This window comes from Homo sapiens, chromosome 19 (assembly GCF_000001405.40).
Source record: "Homo sapiens chromosome 19, GRCh38.p14 Primary Assembly".
NCBI lineage: Eukaryota > Metazoa > Chordata > Mammalia > Primates > Hominidae > Homo > Homo sapiens.
The window spans coordinates 36,510,099-36,530,037 of NC_000019.10; the positions used below are offsets into that span (position 1 = coordinate 36,510,099).

The following is a 19,939-nucleotide window of genomic DNA, read 5'->3' on the forward strand; positions in this document are numbered from 1 at the left end:
AGGCAGAAGAATCGCTTGAACCCAGGAGGTGGAGGTTGCAGTGAGCCGAGATCGCGCCACTGTACTCCAGCCTGGGCAACAGTGCGACACTGTCTCAACAACAACAACAACAACAAAAAAAAAAAAAAAGAAAGAAAGAAAGAAAAGAAAACAATAGCCAGGCATGGTGGCGCATGCCTATAGTCCCAGCTACTTGGGAAGCTGAGGTGGGAGGATGGCTTGAGCCTGGGAGGTGGCAGTTGCAGTGAGCCAAGATTGTGCCACAATACTCCAGCCTGGGCAATAGAGCCAGACCTTAACTCAAGAAAAGAAAAAGGGAGGCAAAAAGACAAATAATCCTATAGAAAAATGAGCTAACAATATGAAAACTCTCAAAGAGGCAAATCTGGGAGCAAGTGAGGTTTATACTCATCAAAGAAGCATACAATTAAGTAGCATCATAGGATCTATTGTAGAGCCAGAGGATATGTTGTTCTTTTGGACCTGACTCTGACAACATCTATTAAAAATTTTAAAATAACATCAATCCTTTGATCTACCAATCCCTTCCCTGTAATCTGACCCACAGAAATAAAAACAACTGAAATCTAAGGGGTGATTACATGAATTTTTATTGTACCATTTCTTATGGTGGCAAATAAGCAAACTGTGAGTAAACGAGGGCAGCTGAATAAATTTACAGTATACAATATTAGAGAATATTATGTTGCAATTGCTCATCTTACTCTGACCATCATAATCATTCTTTTTGCTGGGTCCAGGACCATGGCTAACTCATGGCACAAAAAGCTAGTCCTGGTTTGGTCTGAATTTGAGTCCTAGTTATTCTGGTGACTTCAAGGCTACCCAAGCACATGGGCAAAACACTTAAAAAATATGAAAGATTATTTAAGTAAAGCAAAATGAGGAACAGAAGAAGACAGTTTAGATTCATGTACACATACATATATTTTATTTGGGTATATTACCTCAGAAAATCAACAACTGTCATTTTCAATCTTATCTCAAGACCAACCTTCAGAAATGCTAGTAAGTGCTACAGTAATATTAACATTATATTGAGTTTAAAAGAAATTAATATATTTAAAATCAGTCTAAGGTTTTAATGCTGTATACCCATTTTCATAATCATTCAAAAACATCAGGCCGGGCACGGTGGCTCACGCCTGTAATCCCAGCACTTCGGGAGGCCAAGGTGGGCGGATCACCTGAGGTCGGGAGTTCAAGACCAGCCTTTGGAGAAACCCCATCTCTACTAAAAATACAAAATTAGCCAGGCGTGGTGGCTCACACCTGTAATCCTAGCACTTTGGGAGGCCGAAGCAGGTGGATCACCTGAGGTCAGGAATTCAAGACCAGCCTGGCCAACATGGTGCAACTCCGTCTCTACTAAAAATACAAAATTAGCCGGGCATGGTGGCGCATGCCTGTAATCCCAGCTACTCAAGAGGCTGAGGCAGGAGAACCACTTGAACCTGTGAGGCAGAGGTTGCAGTGAGCCAAGATTGTGCCATTGCACTGCAGCCTGGGCAACAAGAACAAAACTCCGTCTCAAAAAAAAAAAAAAATCATTAGTAGCGTTCTCTGTCAGTTTATTGTGGAAAGAAATCAAGTAAACAAATTCTCAAAAAGATTTGCTTCAAATAAGAGAACACTGTTTAGGTGGAAGATCTCCTTTTTCAGCACGGTCTTCCCAAGGTAACAAGGGGGTTGGGATTGACTTGGGTGTGTCTGACATAATTGAGAAAGAAATTTAGTCTGCAGGTTAAAAGTGAAGCTGAAATCCAGGAGTTAATGTTTTCCTCAATGGCTTATAAAAAAATTGAAGAGTGACACAGTTTTCTCATTTTAAAAGTGGCTAATTTCTAATGCTAATACTGGTTATGCAGAGTATTAAAATTTCTGATAAATGTTTTAGTAAAAACTAATTCTCTCCATGTCTGTGCATATATTATTTAATAATATGATCCTTAAATGTATGTGATCCAACCAATCTGTGGCAAATCATAACCTCCAAGACTATATACAGATTAGAACTACGTACAGATTATGTAAAATTTACTCTTGTGACACATGAGTTATTTTAATTGAATTTAAGTTGCCACCCCAATTAAAAATTATTTCATATTTTAAAGATAAGATTTTAGAAATATCTTCTACAGAATATTAGTATCTGACTAGGAATGTAAGTCCATTATGTTTCATGTACAGCTTCCTCACTCCTATCTGGACTTTTTAACTTTCAGAAGTTTAAGGAAATAAATAGCACGAATGATAGAATGAACACAAATATTACCACCACCCAGAATTAATATTTCGTTATGTTTACTTAGAATGTTTCTTTTTAATAAGAAATAGATACAAAATTGAAGTATCCTTTAACTACCATGCTTGGTAACATTTCCCTTCCACCTCCTTTCTTCCTAGAGGTAACCACTCCACTTTTGGGAACTGAGTATATACATATCCTTTCAATCCATTCTTTAGTTTTACATAATTTATCCATAACCAATTCTTAGTACTAGGGCTGGTTAGTGTTGATTTTATTCAAATTCACAGAAGCATCATTACAATATGTTCATCATTTTTCTTCACTCTAATTTTTTAAAAATATTTCTGTTAATATATAGACTTAATTTGTCACTTAACTGCTAGAGAGTACTCTACTATGTTACTATCACATTTTATTCATCTATTTCACAAGAGACAGCATTTGTTTCCCAACTTCTGGCTACTATAACTCATGGTGCAATGAACTATACAGCTATAGACCAGTACATGACTCCCTGTGTTCATGTTTCTTGGGTAGATGCATATATATAGTAGTTCCCCCTTATCCACAGCTTTGCTTTCCATGGTTTCAGTTACCTGTAGTCACCACAGTTCATAAATAGTTGAGAACAGTACAATAAGGTATTCTGAGAGAAAGATCATATTCACATAACTTTTATGATTACAGTATATTGTTATAATTGTTCCATATTATGTTTATTATTGTTTTAAATCTCTTGCTGTGTCTAATCTGTAAACTAAATTTTATCATAGGTATGTATATATAAGAAAAAAACATAGACATAGAGTTTGGTCCTATCTGGGTTTTAGGTATCCACTGGGGGTCTTAGAGTCCATCTCTTGCAGAAAATAGGGGACTACCATACTCAAGAGTGGAACTACCGGGTATTCTGGAATGTTTTAGAAGTTCTTTCCTGCCCTAAGGTTTTAAAAACATCTTCTTATAAAACTGTTATATTATTAAGTATTGCTTTTTGCATTTTAGTCTTTAGTACTTTAAGAATTCATAAGAAAAATATTTTATATTATGATGGGAGATATTATTTTTCCATATGAAGAGTCAATTAATTTTTAAGTAATCCATGATTTCCCCACCAATCTGGGATACCGCCTCTATCAATTACCAATTCCCCATATATTCATGCACACATTTCTGAATTCAATATTCTGTCTCAGTCTCAGTTTTATGACTGCTTCAACAACAAATAATTTTGATGATTCTAGTTTTACAATTCATATATGTAGCAAAACATCACAAAAATGATAATTTTGTCTCTTAATTTCAAATCCTCATACATCTCATATCTATTTCTTAATGCATCTGTAGGCCTTCCAGGAACACATTAAGTAGTGTCCATGACTAGATCCTAACTTTAATGAGTATACTCCTAGAAGTACAGCATTGATAATGCTTGTTGTGGGAGTTTTGGGGGTACGGGTTTTCTTTACACTATAATACTTATTAAACATCATAGTATTTAAGTTTTGAATTGCTGCTGAAGGACTTCCCACATTCATGTCACTTTAATGTAAAATGAATTTTCCAATACACTATTAAGTGTAAAATCTGCTGAACGTTTTGCTAAATCCAAGGCATTCATAGAGAACTTTAATGAGTATGAATTCTCTGGTGTCTAATGTGATGTGACTTTTGGCTGAAAGCTTTCCCACATTCACTACACTGATAAGGTTTTTCACCAGTATGGATTCTCATGTGCAGAGCAAGGGTTGAGAACTGAGAAAAGGCTTTCCCACATTCATTACAACCATAGGGTTTCTCACCTGTATGGCTTCTCATATGCACAGTAAGAGATGAGCTTTGACAGAAGGCTTTCCCACAGACCTTACACTCATAAGGCTTATCACCTGTATGAATTCTCACATGTACAATAAGTGATGTGATTCGAGAGAAGGCTTTTCCACATTTATTACATTCATAGGGTTTCTCTCCTGTATGAATATTGTGATGTTTAATGAGGTATTGCTTCTGCCTGAAGATTGTTCCACATTCATTACATTTGTAGGGTTTCTCTCCAATATGAATTTTCTCATGCTCTGTGAGATTTGACTTGCCACTGAAGGCTTTCCCACATTCCTTACACGTATAAGGTTTCTCTCCTGTGTGACTTCTCTGGTGTCTAATGAGGCTTGACTTCTGAATGAAAGCTTTCCCACACCCTTTACATTCATAAGGTTTCTCTCCAGTATGGATTCTCTGATGTATAATGAGGTTTTCCTTCTGGCTAAAAGCTTTTCCACACTCACTACATTTAAAGGGCTTCTTTCCAGTATGGATGTTCTGATGTTTAATGAGGTATTGCTTCTGGCTGAAGGCTCTTCCACACTGATTACATTCAAATGGTTTTTCTCCAGTATGAATTTTCTCATGCTCAGTGAGATATGCTTTGCCGTTAAAGGCTTTGCCACATTCCTTACATGCATAGGGTTTGGTTCCTGTATGATTTTTCTGGTGTCTGATGATGGTTGGCATCTGAATAGAAACTTTTTCACATTCATAAGGTTTCTCTCCAGTGTGATGTTTCTGATGAGAAAGGAAGTTTTCCTTCTGGCTGAAGGCTTTTCCACATTTATTACATTTATATGCCTTCTTTCCTGTGTGACTTCTAAGGTGTAGAGTAAGAGATGAGACTCGAGAGCACACTTTACCACATTCAGTGCATTCATGAGATTTCTCTCCAGTATGCATTTTCTTATGCTCTACAAGGTTTTGCTTCAGGCTAAAAGTTTTTCTACATTCATTACATTCATAAGGTTTCTCTCCAGTATGAATTTGATCATGCTGAAGGAGATCTGATTCATGCTGAAGACTTTCCAACATGCCTATCATGCATGTGAATTTAATCAGGAGATTTCCCTAGTATCAAATAAGATGTAATAAGGATGAAAGCTTTCCCACATTCACTAAATTCATATGGTGTATTTTCAATATTAATTCTCAGGTATCTAATGAAGTTAAATTTATGATGGAAGACTTTTCTCACATTGATTACCCTGAGATGAGATGATTACAAAAAGGGATAAAATGTAACATTCTCTTTATATTCTTAATGGTTCTTATATAGCTTCTCCCATATTTAGGTATAGATTGTATATAAATTAGGTTTCAAATTCTTTTAAACTGAGTTCCATACACAGAAGGGTAGTCTTGAAGAATCAATGACTGTTCAGAGGAAATACTTTGTTTCCTAAATTTTCCCTCAGTCTGTCTTTTCACAGAGAAAGATGAGACTTAACTTACAAGTCTTTCATGTTGCGTCTTTATCTGTTTATAAACTTCCCAGGCTTCTTCTAAAAGGAAGTACAAAAAAATCATAATTGAAAAAGTTAATATAATATATAGTGCCTGGCATGTAATAAGCGTCCAATAAATTAGGTTATCATTATCATCAACATAATATCACTAACACCTTTGAAGTTTCCCATTATTAATATAATTTCAGAAATGTATTACTGTAAAATAGATTCTTTTTTTTTTTTGAGATGGAATTTCGCTCTTGTTGCCCAGGCTGGAGGGCAATGGCGCGATTTTGGCTCACCGCAACCTCTGCCTTCCAGGTTCAAGCAATTCTCCTGCCTCAGCCTCCCGAGTAGCTGGGACTACAGGAGCCCGCCACCATGCCTGGCTAATTTTTGTATTTTTAGTAGAGGCAAGGTTTCTCCATGTGGGCCAGGATGGTCTCAAACTCCCGACTTTGGGTGATCCGCCCACCTCAGCCTCCCAAAGTGCTGGGATTACAGGCATAAGCCACTGCGCACGGCTGTAAAATAGATTCTTTATCCAAGCCTAGTCTCATTATAAAATAAAGTTCAAATACAAATAACATTCCCAGGTATGTGTAATTTTAATTGCTTTTCAATGTAACCCAGCACACTTCATAAATCAGTAAAATGAGAGAAAATAAGGCTAGGTATGGTGGTTCACACCTATAATCCCAGCACTTTGGAAGGGTGAGGCAGGAAAATTGCTTGAGGCCAGGAGTTTGAGAGCAGCCTTGGTAACACAGCGAGACTCTCGTCTCTATAAAAAATTTAAAAACTAGCCAGGCATGGTGCCTGTAGTCCTAGCTACTGAGGAGATTGAGGTGGGCAGATTGCTTAGGCCCAGGATTTCAGGGCTGCAATAAGCTATGATCGTGCCAGTGTCTGGGTGACAGTGCAAGACTCGGTCTTTTATTTTATTTTTTTGGGTCGGAGTCTTGCTCTGTCGCCCAGGCTGGAGCGCAGTGGCATGATCTCGGCTCACTGCAAGCTCCGCCTCCTGGGTTCACGCCATTCTCCTGCCTCAGCTTACTGAGCAGCTGGGACTACAGGCGCCCACCACCATGCCCTGCCAATTTTTTGTATTTTTAGTAGAAACGGGGTTTCACCACGTTGGCCAGGGTGGTCTCGATCTCCTGACCTCGTGATCTGCCCGCCTTGGCCTCCCAAAGTGCTGGGATTACAGGCGTGAGCCACTGCGCCCGGCCGACTTGGTCTTTAAAACATAAGGAATCGGTGAGAAACAGGATGAAAGGACAAATACTTAAAAGACTGGGAGTGCATAGGAAGACAGGGCAAAAATAAAATGAACAGAAAAGTTTAAATAAGGTGCTTATTTCTATGTCTTCCCGAAACACCATTAAAATGACAGTAAAAGGGTGAAGAAGGACACATAAGAACTAAACGGTTAAGAAGATATCAGTGGACAAAAAGTATTAGGAGGACTAGGGATAGTGGCTCCTTCCTGTAATCTCAGCACTTTGGGAGGCCAAGGCAGGAGGACTGCTTGAGGCCAGGAGTTTGAGATCAGCCTAAGCAGCACAGCAAGGCTTTATCTCTACAAAAATTTTAAAAATTAGGTAGGTGCAGTAGCATACACCTGTAGTCTTAGTTACTTGGGAGGTTGAAGTAGGAGGATCGCTTGAGCCCAGGAGTTCGAGGCTGCAGTATGCTATGATCATGCCATTGCAATCCAGCCTAGGTGACAGAGTATGACCTTGTCTCTAAAAAAAAAAAAGTATTAGGAAATTTTGGAAAGAAAGCAAATAGAGAACTGTAAATTAACAGCAGAACTGAGTGGTTTAAAGAAAAGCCAGCAGATGTGGGGGCCACCTTCACAGGTCTGTAACACAGATATTGACAGATATGCTCTGTCAGTGGAGAAACTGGGCAAGAGTGGAAGGCAGGGCTTACAAAATGACTGTGAAAGGACCAGCTAATGCCCTGAACTCTCCTAGCTGGACAGAAATGTGAAGTTTATCATCCAGACAAAACCAAGAGGCTCCAAATTTAGTGATGACCAGCAAAGTAATGAGAGCATCCTAGTAAGAGAAGAATGAGTAAAAGTTTATACACATAACAGAGGCTCTTCTACTGTTAGAGTCCGAGAATGCTGGTGGTTACTAGCTGTCAGATGATGGAAGAATTATTTTCTTTTTTCTTTCTTTCTTTTTTTTTTTTTGGGACGGAGTCTCGCTCTGTTGCCCAGGCTGGAGTGCAGTGCGATCTCGGCTCACTGCAACCTCTGCCTCCCGGGTGAAGGGATTCTCCGGCATCAGCCTCCCGAGTAGCTGGGATTACAGGTGCCCGCCACCACGCTCGGCTAATTTTTGTATTTTTAGTTAGAGACGGGGCTTCACCATGTTGGCCAGGCTGGTCTTGAACTCCTGACCTCATGATCCACCCGCCTTGGCCTCCCAAAGTGCTGGGAATACAGCCATGAGCCACCGCACCCGGCCCGGAAGAATTATTTTCTGAAAAAATGAGAAGACCATGAGAACACCTACAGATGCTAACATTTGGAATCATCTAACGAAACACATCTATATTACTGATTGATGCACAGTGAAAACCACCATTTCATAAGCCCCGCTTACATACACAAATTAATATAGAGCTAAAGATCAGAAAACATTTGATGAAAGTCCTAACATCAAAGGCAGATCAAACAAAATACAAGGCAAAGAGCAGAAAAACTCACCCATATAATACTACAATTAATATCATGGAAAGTTAGGAGATTACTATTATCACTGCAATGAAATATTAACAGTGTTCTATAAAGAGGTGTTTTTAGAAATAAACAATATGAAATTGATCTTAAAAATTCAGTATGTTGGGGAAAGAAAGTCTAGAAAATCTCCTAGAATAAAAAAAGGAAGAATGGAGGAAGGCAGAAAGAAAGAGTGTAATGGTTGGAACATTTAGTGGGTTAGTGGAAGAATCTGGAAGGATCAGCATCTACTAAAGAAGTTCCAAAGAAAGTATGAAGAAAAATGAATACAGGACATTTTCAAAGAGCTAATAAAGAACACTTCCCAGAATTACAAATCATGAGTCCACATACTTAGCAGGCCCATTGAGTACAAAGAACATTCCATTTAAAAAGATAGCGGCGAAAGCACATCAATACAAAATTTCACCTAGGGATAAAAAGAGGATCCTAGTTTGAGACCGGCCTGTGCAACACAGTGTGATCTTGTCTCTACTAAAAATAAAAAAGATTATCTGGGTGTGGTGGCATATACATGTACTCCCTTCTACTTGGGGAGGCTGAGATGGTACGATGGCTTGAGCCCAGGAGAGTGAGCTATGATTACCCTACTGAACTCCGGCTTGGGCAAGAGTGAGACCTTGTCTTAACAAAAAAAAAAAATCCTAAATGTTCCAAAACATTTATCCTATAAAAGGAAATAAAAGAAAAAGACATACCACATCAAAAAGGCATCAGATTGCAAGACAATGGATAATCCTAACCATAAGTTACTTCCAACTTAGACTTCTAGGTTTTACAGTTCTGTCTGAAAGCTTGGGAAGAATCAAAACACAAAAATGGAAAACTAAGCAAACAAAACAAAGAAGCAAATATTAATTAAAAGAAAAGCAAAAGGTTATACAAGAAATCAAACAGAGTCATAGAAAATCATTTGGTTTACCAGTCAACAATGCTTACAGTGTTATAGTTACGTAAATGCTTACAAATGCTTTAATAAAAAAGCAGTGATCTTACTAGTATCAGAAGTCAGAAGGGGAAGTATGGGTATAACATACTGGGGGTAACATTTCAGAACCCCGTTAGTAACTGAGAAAACAACCACTCTCAACCTCTGAATTCAAATCCATAAAATACAATATAAATAAAAAGAAAAATGTATACACATTTATAACATATTTTATTAATCAGTTTATCCTATATCTTGAAAATAGATTATAAACCACCTTTTTAAATGCCCAAAGAACATTCTGAAAATCAGCCCATACAGTAGCCTGTTCCACAAAGTAGTAAAGGATGGACAAAATACTCTGACCAAAAAAACAAAAAACCCAACACATAGAAATGACAGAACAAAAACAAAACCTTTCACTTGTAAATTTCAAAATCTATTGGTTTGAACAAACCCTTTGGCCAGGGAAAATTAATGCTTGGAGAATGAAGTTTTAGCATAAAAGCTTACATCATTTTAAAAAAAGTAATAAAATAAGCACTCAAAGTAATTAACATAAGAAAAAGTAAATATAAGAAAAACAGACCGGGTGTGGTGACTCACGCCTGTAATCCCAGCACTTTGGGAGGCCGAGGTGGGCAGATCACTTGAGGTTAGGAGTTCGAGACCAGCCTGGCCAACATGGAGAAACCCCATCTCTACTAAAAATACAAAATTAGCCGGGTGTGGTGGTGTGCGCCTGTAATCCCAGCTACTCGGGAGGCTGAGGCAGGAGAAATGCTTGAACCCAGGAGGAGGAAGTTGCAGTGAACCAATATTGTGCCACTGCACTCCAGCCTGGGCAACAGAGTGAGACTCTGTCTCAAAAAAAAAAAAAAAAGAAAGAAAGAAAAAGGAAAGAAAAACAGAAAATTAGTAAAAATAGGAAAAAGAAATTAATGTATTACAAACAGAAAAAGAGAAATAATAAATTCATGAGTGGATTCTTAAGGAAAAACTTAAAAGAAGTAAGAGTAAAAAAGAAAAAGATATTTGGAAATAACTATAGATAGAAAATATGGATAGTACAGACTATTTTGTTAAACCCCATGCAAATAGAAAACTTAGCAAGTATAACCGATGCGAACTGAAACCAGAAAAGACAGAAAACCTAAACAGAAACATAAACATAGTACAAAATAGGGCTGGGTGTGGTGGCTCACGCCTGTAATCCCAGAACTTTAGAAGGCTAAGGCAGGTGGATCATTTGAGCCCAGCAGTTCAAGACCAGCACTTTGGGAGGCCAAGGCAGGCAGATCACAAGGTCAGGAGATCGAGACCACTCTGGCTAACATGGTGAAACCCCGTCTGTACTAAAAAGACAAAAACAAAAAAAATTAGCTAGGCGTGGTGGCGGGCGCCTGTAGTCCCAGCTACTCTGGAGGCTGAGGCAGAAGAATTACTTGAACCTGGGAGGCAGAGGTTGCAGTGAGCTGAGATCGCCCCACTGCACCCCAGCCTGGGTGACAGAGCGAGATTCCGTCTCAAAAAAAAAAAAAAAAAAAAAGGACCAGCCTGGCCAACACCGTGAGACCCTGTCTCTACAAACAATTTAAAAATTAGGTGGGCGTAGTGGCAGGTGCCTGTAGTCCCAGCTGCTCAGAAGGTTGAGGTAGGAGGATTACTTGAGTCAGGAGTTCAAGGCTGCAGTGAGCTGTGATCATGCCACTGCACTCCAGCCTGGGAGACAGAGTAAGACCTTGTCTCAAAAAAAAAAAAAAGAAAGAAAGAAGGAAAAAATAGAGCTCTTGCCCCTTAAAGCCCAAGGCATGGATGGCTTAGCATGTGAATTTTACTAAACTTTGATTAGATAATGGTATTATTTATTTTGTTTTCCACTTACTTTTAAAAAATTCATGAAAATTGGTATGATGCATAACAGATCAGGACTTATGCTACTATATTCCAAACAATCCAAAAGAAAATTAAAAATTACATCTCCTTTGTAATTAAAACCCTACATCCTTCACACACTTATCAGAATTGAATTTTTAACACTGTAAATGACAATGCTGAACTGAACTAGAAAACATAATCAGAACAACAAGTAAAATGGTTCTTTCAACATTTATCCCATGGTTTAAAAAATATTCTCAGGACCAGGTGCAGTGGCACACGCCTGTAATCCCAGCACTTGGGGAGGATGAGGCAGGCAGATCACCTGAGGTCAGGAGTTCGAGACCAGTCTGGCCAACATGGTGAAACTCTGTCTCTACTAAAAATACAAAAATTAGCCAGGCATGGTGGTGGGCATCTGTAAATTCCAGCTACTCAGGAGGCTGAGGCAAAAGAATCGCTTGAACCCGGGAGGCAGACATTGTAGTGAGCCAAGATTGTGCCACTGCACTCCAGCCTGAGTGACACAGCAAGACTCTGTCTAAAAAAATAAAATAAGGCCGGGTGCGGTGGCTCACGCCTGTAATCCCAGCACTTTGGGAGGTGGAGGCAGGCAGATCACAAGGTCGGGAGTTTGAGACCAGTCTGGCCAACATGGTGAAACCCCGTCTCTACTAAAAATACAAAAAATTAGCTATGCTTGGTGGTGGGCGCCTGTTATCCCAGCTACTTGGGAGGATGAGGCAGCAGAATCGCTTGAACCTGGGAGGCAGAGCTTGCAGTGAGCCGAGATCGCGCCACTGCACTCCAGCCCAGGTGACAGTGTGAGACTTCATCTCAAACAAATAAAAAAAATAAAATAAAATGAAAAATGCTTTCAAAATATAAGTCAAAATGCTCTAATGGCAAGCAAACTCTTAATTGTATTATGTGTAAATAGTGACCTGTTAAAACAAGGGTTGACGCCAGGCTCGGTGGCTCACGCCTGTAATCCCAGCACTTTGGGAGGCCGAGGTGAGTGGATCACCTGAGGTCAGGAGTTCGAGACGAGACTGGCCAACATAGTGAAACCCTGTCTCTACTAGAAATACAAAAAATTAGCTGGGCGTGGTGACATGTTCCTGTAATGCCAGCTACACAGGAGGTGGAGGCAGGAGAATCGCTTGAACCTGGGAGATGGAGGTTGTAGTGAGCCGAGATCACACCATTGCACTCTGGCCTAGGCAACAAGAGTGAAACTCCATCTCAAAAAATAAATAAATAAATAAAATAAAAAAAAACACCACAAGGTTGGCAAACTAAAAGAGTTTTTCTGGAACATGGCCATGTTTATTTATTTTCTTGTCCATGACTACTTTCACAGTATAATGCTTGAGATAAGTAGCTGCAATGGAGACCCTGTAGCCTACAAAGACTTAAATATTAACCATCTGGCCCTTTACAGAAAAAGCTTGCTGAACTCCTGTCCTAGAGTAGCAATTCCTCCATCTTCTATCTGGCTGAAACCAGGTTGCATTGTTGATCCAGCTCCAACCACAACCAGATAATAAAGAGAGAACCTCGGAGGAATCCATATGTTTCAGGGACCATAAGCACCAAAGTTAGCATGCAAATCTGGACTATTCACCACATGAGTGTTATGTGACCAAGAAATCAATTCCTACATTCCTTAAACTGGCACTTTGAAGTTTATTATAGTCACTTAGCTTTACTGTGATTAGTACACTTCTTATTGCTTTACATATCATGAATCTGAGATGCCTAACAAATACTAATCACCAGCCTGGACCTCTCTCCTCAACAATCAATTCAAATATCCAGCTGACTACTCAACATTTCCACTTGGATGTCTAATAGTGATCTAACTTACCCTGCCCCTATTCAAACTCTTGCTCCAGCTCCCAAACCAACTCCTCTCAAATTCTTCTCATCTCTTTAAATAGCAATCTCATTCTCCTTGCTGCTCAAACAATACTTCTCTTTCAGTCAGATTGCACACTCTTTACAACCTCGTAGCTTACTGGCTATTTTGGACAATCCTCACTGTGACCACCAAGGTCTAAGCCACATGTCTTGCCAGGATTATTTAACAGCCTCCTTACCAGTCTTGCTACTTTAGCTTTCAACTCTTTACAGTTCTCAACACAGCAGCCACAGTAATCTTGTCACAGTCCAATCACATCACTGCTCTACTTGAAAGCCTTTTTGTATCCTCATAAAAACATTTAGAAGCATACAGCAGACACTGTTAACAGTGGCTGCTTCTGGGAAACAGGGGATTGAGGGCCAGGAATGAAGAGACATACCTGATTGTTTTAATTTTCTATCAAGTATACATATTAAATTTTGATAATAATAGTATTATTTCTTTTTTTTTTTTTTTTTGAGATGGGAGTCTCACTCTGTCGCCCAGACTGGAGTGCAGTGGCATGATCTCGGCTCACTGCAACCTCCGCCTCCCAGGTTCAAGTGATTCTTCTGCCTCAGGCTCCTGAGTAGCTGGGATTACAGGCGTGTGCCACCTCGCCAGGCTAATTTTTGTATTTTTAGTAGAGACTGGGTTTCACCATGTTGGTCAGGCTGGTCTCAAACTCCTGACCTCATGATCCACCTGCCGCAGCCTCCCAAAGTGCTGGGATTACAGGCGTGCACCACCATACCCAGCCATTATTATTTCTTTTTAAAATTAACAGGGTAATGAACTAATAGGAAGTCAGCACTAATCCCTAAGCCTGTAATATTGTTAAAAAGCAGGAGGTGACATAGTGTTGAACTATGATGGCTGGAGGTAGGAAGACAATAGAAAACAAGAGTAAGGAAGCAAAATTCAATTCTGAGGAATATAACAATGGAAGGAGAAAGAATGATAGAAAGTTAAAATGTAAAGAAAAGAATCTACTTGCTAGTCTTTGAAAGTTTTTTTATTGATACATAATAGTTATACATAGAATGATTAATTTATTTTATTTATTATTATTATTTTTTAGACAGAGTCTCACTCTGTTGCCCAGGCTGGAGTGCACTGGCACAATCTCAGCTCACTGCAAGTTCCACCTCCCAGGTTCACGCCATTCTCCCACCTCAGCCTCCTGAGTAGCTGGAACTACAGGCGCCCGCCACCACACCTGGCTAATTTTGTTTTTGTATTTTTAGTAAAGACGGGGTTTCACCGTGTTAGCCAGGATGGTCGTGATCTCCTGACCTCGTGATCCGCCAGCCTCGGCCTCCCAAAGTGCTGGGATTACAGGCGTGAGCCACCACGCCTGGCCAGAATGATTACATTTTAAAGAAAATAACTTACATGCTAGTTTTTTTTTTTTTTTTTATTGATCATTCTTGGGTGTTTCTCGCAGAGGGGGATTTGGCAGGGTCATAGGACAATAGTGGAGGGAAGGTCAGTAGATAAACAAGTGAACAAAGGTCTCTGGTTTTCCTAGGCAGAGGACCCTGCGGCCTTCCGCAGTGTTTGTGTCCCTGGGTACTTAAGATTAGGGAGTGGTGATGACTCTTAACGACATGCTAGTTTTTGAAAACTAACAGATCTATGAAGGACTGAATGCTTAAGGAAACGCATCTAGGCATACAGGGAAAAGTGAAAAATGGAGAATGTTAGTGAAAGGAAGAAAAGTGAAATTGAGGCTGTAAAAAAATCATAAAATTGAGGCTGCAAATGATGTAGAATGACTGGCATCCAGAATAGATTTTAGAAGAGCAATCAGTCCTCTAGAATCTGATAAAAGGGATGCATAGATTCAGGAAGACAGTCTGGAAATGTCATTTAGGTATCTAAAGAATTCCCAGCAACAGTCACTCTAAAAGACAAAGGCTAGTACGAAAATCTCAAAAAAACAAACAAACAAACAAACAAAAAAACCCCACAACAACTCAGAGGCTGCAAATTCTCACTGAATAACTGCAATAAGTCTTTATCTCATTCATACCTACCAGGTTCTTGCTTACTCACACAAAGAGAACCTTCTTTACATTTCTTTCTCAATCATCTGTTGCTGTTCTTTTAAGTGCTGACTTTAAACTTGTGAGCAGAAAAATGACACTGGACTTGGATGTTATGGTTGGGGAACAAAGCAGCATCCCAAAATTCAGGGAGCGCCCTTAGAACTCTAAGAGGTTTTGCAGCTCCTGTGGATATACAAGGAAGCAGGCCTGTGAAAAAGAACAAAGTAATGATGATTCTTTGGCTTTGACCTACATGTGAGCAAATGGAAAAACAGTATTTGTACATAGCACCTCAGGCCAGACCCATTATGCCATTCAAAAGCTCTACACATTTCAATGGCCGGGCATGGAAGCTCACGTCTGTAATCTCAGCACCTTGGGAGGCCGAGGCAGGCAGATCACTTGAGATTAGGAGTTCGAGACCCGCCTGGCCAACATGGTGAAACCCTGTCTCTACTAAAAATACAAAAATTAGCCAGGCGTGGTGGCATATGCCTGTAGTCCCAGCTACTCAGGAGGCTGAGGCAAGAGAATCACTTGAAGCCAGGAGGCAGAGGTTGCACTGAACCAAGGTCACGCCACTATACACCAGCCTAAGCGACAGTGGAGACTCCATCTCAAGGAAGGAAAAAAAAAAAAAAGCTCTAAACATTTCAAAAATGAGAAACAGAAGGGACCTTATTTTCAGAATTTAGGTTACACAGAGAAACTATGAGAGACTAAGATGCCAGAGTTATCCACAATCACAACCTGTATAGGTTCCTTCGAGCAGGTGTCACTTGTGACCTTGCTCCTGAGTGAAGTCACATCTTTGCATATAATTTTTCCCCATAACACTTTTCTCATAAGTCTGAAGTAACCAACCTTGAGTGATATGGAAAAAAATACAGGAAATTATTCTGATGGTATTTATAGGTCAGAGCTCTAAAAAATTTAGAGGACTAATATTTTACTTAGATTAACTAGGAGAAGTTAAATATAGTAAGTGTCCTATAATAATAATCTTCCCTTGATATCACAGGAGATTGGTTCCAGGATCACTGTGGATACCAAAATCTGCAGATGCTCAAGTCCCTTATACTTCAAATATAAAGCCAGGCATGGTGGCTCACGCCTGTAATCCCAGCACTTTGGGAGGCTGAGGCAGGCTGACCACCTGAGGTCAGGAGTTCGAGACCAGGCTGGCCAAGATGGTGAAACCCTGTCTCTACTAAAAATAAAAAAATTAGCTGGGCATGGTGGCACACACCTGTACCTCAGCTACTTGGGAGGCTGAGGCAGGAGAATCGCTTGAACCCAGGAGGCAGAGGTGGCAGTGAGCCGAGATTGCACCACTGCACTCCAGTCTGGGTGACAGAGTGAGACTCCATCTCAAAAAAATAAAAATAAAGTGAATGGAAGTATATTTACATATAACCTATGCACATCCTCCCATATACTTTAAAATTATCTCCAGATTACTTATCATACGTAATACAACGTAAATGTCTGGTAAATAGTTGTTATACTGTATTGTTTAGGGAATCATGACAAGAAAAAAAAATCTGTACACGTACAGATACAACCATCGCAAGCTTAACAACAGTTATGATTCATGTTTGTTGAATCCGTGGAAGCAGAGCCTACAGACACAGAGGGCTGACTGTTCATTCACTGATTCAGCAAACATATACATTTATGATTATGTGTGCTGAGAAACCTTGGTTTACAATTTGTAATGGGATATAACAAATCAAAGGATCAAACTTACTTAGAAGCCTTCTCTAAGATGTAAGTGCCTTAGAACCTGGCTAGACAGTGCTATAAATTGCTGAAACAGGTACAGAGGGGAAATAGATGGAGGCAGACTGCAGGAAGAAGGAGCCCTTTAGACATAAAGAGCTTGAAGTTCCCTGTAACTTCCAGGTGGACTGCACATTGGGCAATTAGATAATATGGATTAGGAGCTCAGGACAAGCCTCCAGCAGAAACAGACATTTATTAGTCATCTGTATTAGATGAAGCCATGGATGGCAGTGTAATGTTGTTGCTGATAGGAGTACTTAGATGATCAAGGCCAGAAACTTAGAAACACCAATAGTTAGGGGAAAAGCAGAAACTAAGTCCTGTCTTCTTTGTATCTTTTACTTTTTCTGTATATTTCAAAACTATTAACCCTGTTACTTTTTTATTTTATTGAAAAATATGTTAAGAATAAGTGTGACAAGATACTTGAATATGTTGATATGTTAAGAATAAGTGTGACAAGATACTTGAAGATAGGATACTTCTATCTTTGTATACACAAGAAAAGAATTTCCCCTATATTTACAAAAGGCTGGGGAAACCCTGATTAAATTAGGAGTGAGATTGCTGCCCTCACTGACGAACTAGGGAGTTTCTTGACCTCTGCGCTAAAGGCAGGACAAGTAGCTTCCAAATTCTGTGCCGTCTGCGCTATTGGAAACTACCTCTTAAAGATATTCCTTAGTTCAGGGTTTCTCCAAGCAACTGCACCAAAGTTTCTCCAAAGTATTAAGAAAAGTCAATGCCTACTGGGTGTACAGGCACCCAGTAACAAGTTTTTCCGAAATCTTGCCTCTTTAAAAAAATAATGGAAAGGTAATGCTGATTTTGTTTTCTACTCCACAATAGGTCTGCTTTTATATAAAAAATCACCTTTAAAATTACTTATCCGCTCAATTCCTTAGCCTTTTCCGTTTCCTATTTTCCAGAAAACGCATCTTTATTATTTTAGAAATGAGAAAAGTGAGGCTTAGAGGTTACTACCTCACAAAGCCATCCGTCCATCCTCACAAACTTGGAACCAGTTTCTCACTAACTCTGCACCCTCAACACCCCCTCACACTCTCGGTCACCCACCCGCGAACCCACCCGAACTGTACCCCTGCCCCCAGCCACACAAGCTCGGATCACCGCACATCATAGAAGGCGATTCCTCCCCTCCATACTCCCAGCCCCGTCGCAGGCACTGCAAATCCTCCCCTCCAGCGTCCCTGGCCCGTTTCAGTGTCCAGAAACCCAAGTCCCACAGGGCCGAAACCCAACTCACCGGCAGACAAAGACGACCATGGCAAGTCGGAGATTCCGCGCCTGCGCACTCCTTCCGCGGGCAGCGCTCCCAGAGGTCTCCTGGGCTGGGCCAGGCCCCGACTCAGAACCGGACGGAATCGAGAGATCTTGGCCCGTCCTCCGTGCCACTCTTTTGAGGGTAGACTACATTTCCCAGAAGGTTCAGCGGTTTGAGTCAGCTTTTCGCGCGAACTTTTCCTCCGCCAGAGCTTGTGGGACTGTCTCCCTGGCCGGGGCAGGGGTGTAAGGCCTTAGTCTTAGTTTACTCTATCCCTGGGATTGGGTAGTGGTGTAACATCAGCTTAAACACGCTGTGCTGACTTTATGTAACAGCCACGGTGCGATACTAAGCCAGGAACCCCAGGAGACTCTCAGACACGGTTCGGGAATGAGGGTAATCCCTTTGGCTGGGCTCAAGCCGGGCGCCATCTTGCTCATCGCGGGCGTGGCGCTGAACTACATTTCCCAGAAGGCGCCGCGCCCTCGGCCCCTCCCCTCGCGACTCCCGCGGCTCGGGGGAGAGCTGCACGCGACCCAGGTGCTGGCCTCTGAGCGGGTCGGCTCGGAGACTACAGGATCAGGAGGAGGTTGGAGGTGAAGCGTCTGGAATCCGGTGCGGAGGTTGAGACTGAGTATTAAGTCTGTTCAGGCGGAACGCGCCGAGAAGGGCGGTTGTGAAATTGTGTTTTTGTGAATGTATGTCCTAGCACAGTGTGTGTGTGATTGTGATTGTGTGTGACACCTTGTGTACGGATGTGGGGAGGACTCTGCGGGTGTCCCGTGAGTCCCTGTGTTAGGACTGTTATTGTGTGACTGTGTAACGCTGTGTGAGGGTGTGGGTTAGCTGTGACTGTGTGCCCGCGGTGGGTGTGTGATTGTAACTCTGTGACCATATGTTCGTTTGTGTGCAGATATAGGGAGCTTTGTACTTATGTAGTTGTGACTCTGTGTCCTTGTGTGGGAGTATGGAGGGTGGGTGCTTGTGACTTTGTGTACAGTGGTGGGTGTGTGACTGTGAAGCATTGGGTGTGCGTGGAGTTGAGACTGTGTTTGTGTGTCTTTGACCAAATGTCACACATAGTCATATGTGAGAGCAGAAGACAGCTCGGCCCCGTGATAGTAAAGGGGATTTTTCTATGACACTGAGTTTTGAGTTGGAAGCCCCAGTTTCCTCTGATAGCCCTCCCATGGCGGGGGAGGGGAACGCAGAGTAAGCTCTGGCCTTGTCATTTGGGCCCTAGGGGAGGTGTATTGTCTCCCTTCTCATTTCTGTCCTCCAAGAGAGGTTCCCCAGAGGAGAGGAAATAACGGTTGTGATATCTAAAAGCCATGTTTAAGGTGCCTTGAAGTTTTCTCTTTGTTCCTGAAATGCTTTATTTTTCCAGGACCTGATTTTTTTTTTTTTTGAGATGGAGTCTCGCACTGTCGCCCGGGCTGGTGTGCAGTGGCGCGATCTCGGCTCACTGCAACCTCCGCCTCCCAGGTTCAAGCGATTCTCCTTCCTCAGCCTACCGAGTAGCTAGGATTACAGGTGCCGGCCACCACGCCCGGGTAATTTTTTTGTTGTTGTATTTTTAGTAGAGACGGGGCTTCACTATGTTGGCCTGGCTTGTCTTGAACTCCTAACCTTGTGAACCGTCCACCTCGGCCTCCCAAAGTGCTGGGATTACAGGCATGAGCCACTGCGCCCGGCTGATTTTTTTTTTCTTAGCAAATGCCTAAAAGGACTTATCAAGTAACCTGGAATCTTCTGTTACTCTTTGGAAAAATCTTCCTAATTTTGTCTTATTAATATAGCA

General features: G+C 41.0%; 1 protein-coding gene across 8 annotated transcripts, besides 5 other annotated features; it reads right to left on the minus strand.

Moving 5' to 3' along the window:
• Positions 1–588: 588 nt before the first annotated feature.
• On the minus strand, positions 589–18,173 carry ZNF260 (zinc finger protein 260). Of its 8 annotated transcripts, none has more exons than NM_001375598.1 (4): positions 18,121–18,173; positions 15,057–15,275; positions 5,552–5,601; positions 589–5,167 (listed from the first exon to the last, which is right to left on the minus strand). In NM_001375598.1, the coding sequence occupies exon 4, from the start codon at positions 5,138–5,140 to the stop codon at positions 3,902–3,904; it is 1,239 nt and encodes a 412-aa protein (NP_001362527.1). In that variant the 5' UTR covers positions 5,141–5,167; positions 5,552–5,601; positions 15,057–15,275; positions 18,121–18,173; the 3' UTR covers positions 589–3,901. The 8 variants fall into 8 exon arrangements, with proteins under 8 accessions (NP_001362527.1, NP_001159508.1, NP_001012774.1 ...); NM_001166036.2 differs by adding an exon at positions 7,188–7,295 and having other exon boundaries at positions 589–5,601; NM_001012756.3 differs by adding an exon at positions 7,932–8,045 and having other exon boundaries at positions 589–5,601.
• Positions 17,470–18,180: an enhancer, noted in NCBI's record as "H3K27ac hESC enhancer chr19:37018470-37019180 (GRCh37/hg19 assembly coordinates)". NCBI's record gives its function as "activates a minimal SCP1, AML or CMV promoter by ChIP-STARR-seq in naive H9 embryonic stem cells {active_cell/tissue: H9 hESC(naive)}" and the evidence as "EXISTENCE:reporter gene assay evidence [ECO:0000049][PMID:30033119]".
• Positions 17,470–18,900: a biological region, named in NCBI's record as "H3K27ac hESC enhancers GRCh37_chr19:37018470-37019180 and GRCh37_chr19:37019181-37019889".
• Positions 17,921–18,550: an enhancer, noted in NCBI's record as "active region_14525". NCBI's record gives its function as "activates an Ori minimal core promoter by ATAC-STARR-seq in GM12878 lymphoblastoid cells {active_cell/tissue: GM12878}" and the evidence as "EXISTENCE:reporter gene assay evidence [ECO:0000049][PMID:35858748]".
• Positions 18,181–18,889: an enhancer, noted in NCBI's record as "H3K27ac hESC enhancer chr19:37019181-37019889 (GRCh37/hg19 assembly coordinates)". NCBI's record gives its function as "activates a minimal SCP1, AML or CMV promoter by ChIP-STARR-seq in naive H9 embryonic stem cells {active_cell/tissue: H9 hESC(naive)}" and the evidence as "EXISTENCE:reporter gene assay evidence [ECO:0000049][PMID:30033119]".
• Positions 18,701–18,900: an enhancer, noted in NCBI's record as "active region_14526". NCBI's record gives its function as "activates an Ori minimal core promoter by ATAC-STARR-seq in GM12878 lymphoblastoid cells {active_cell/tissue: GM12878}" and the evidence as "EXISTENCE:reporter gene assay evidence [ECO:0000049][PMID:35858748]".

Excerpts from the sequence above, each read along its gene's own strand:
- ZNF260 (NM_001375596.1), bottom strand. The coding sequence starts at position 5,140 with ATGATAGGCATGTTGGAAAGTCTTCAGCATGAATCAGATCTCCTTCAG.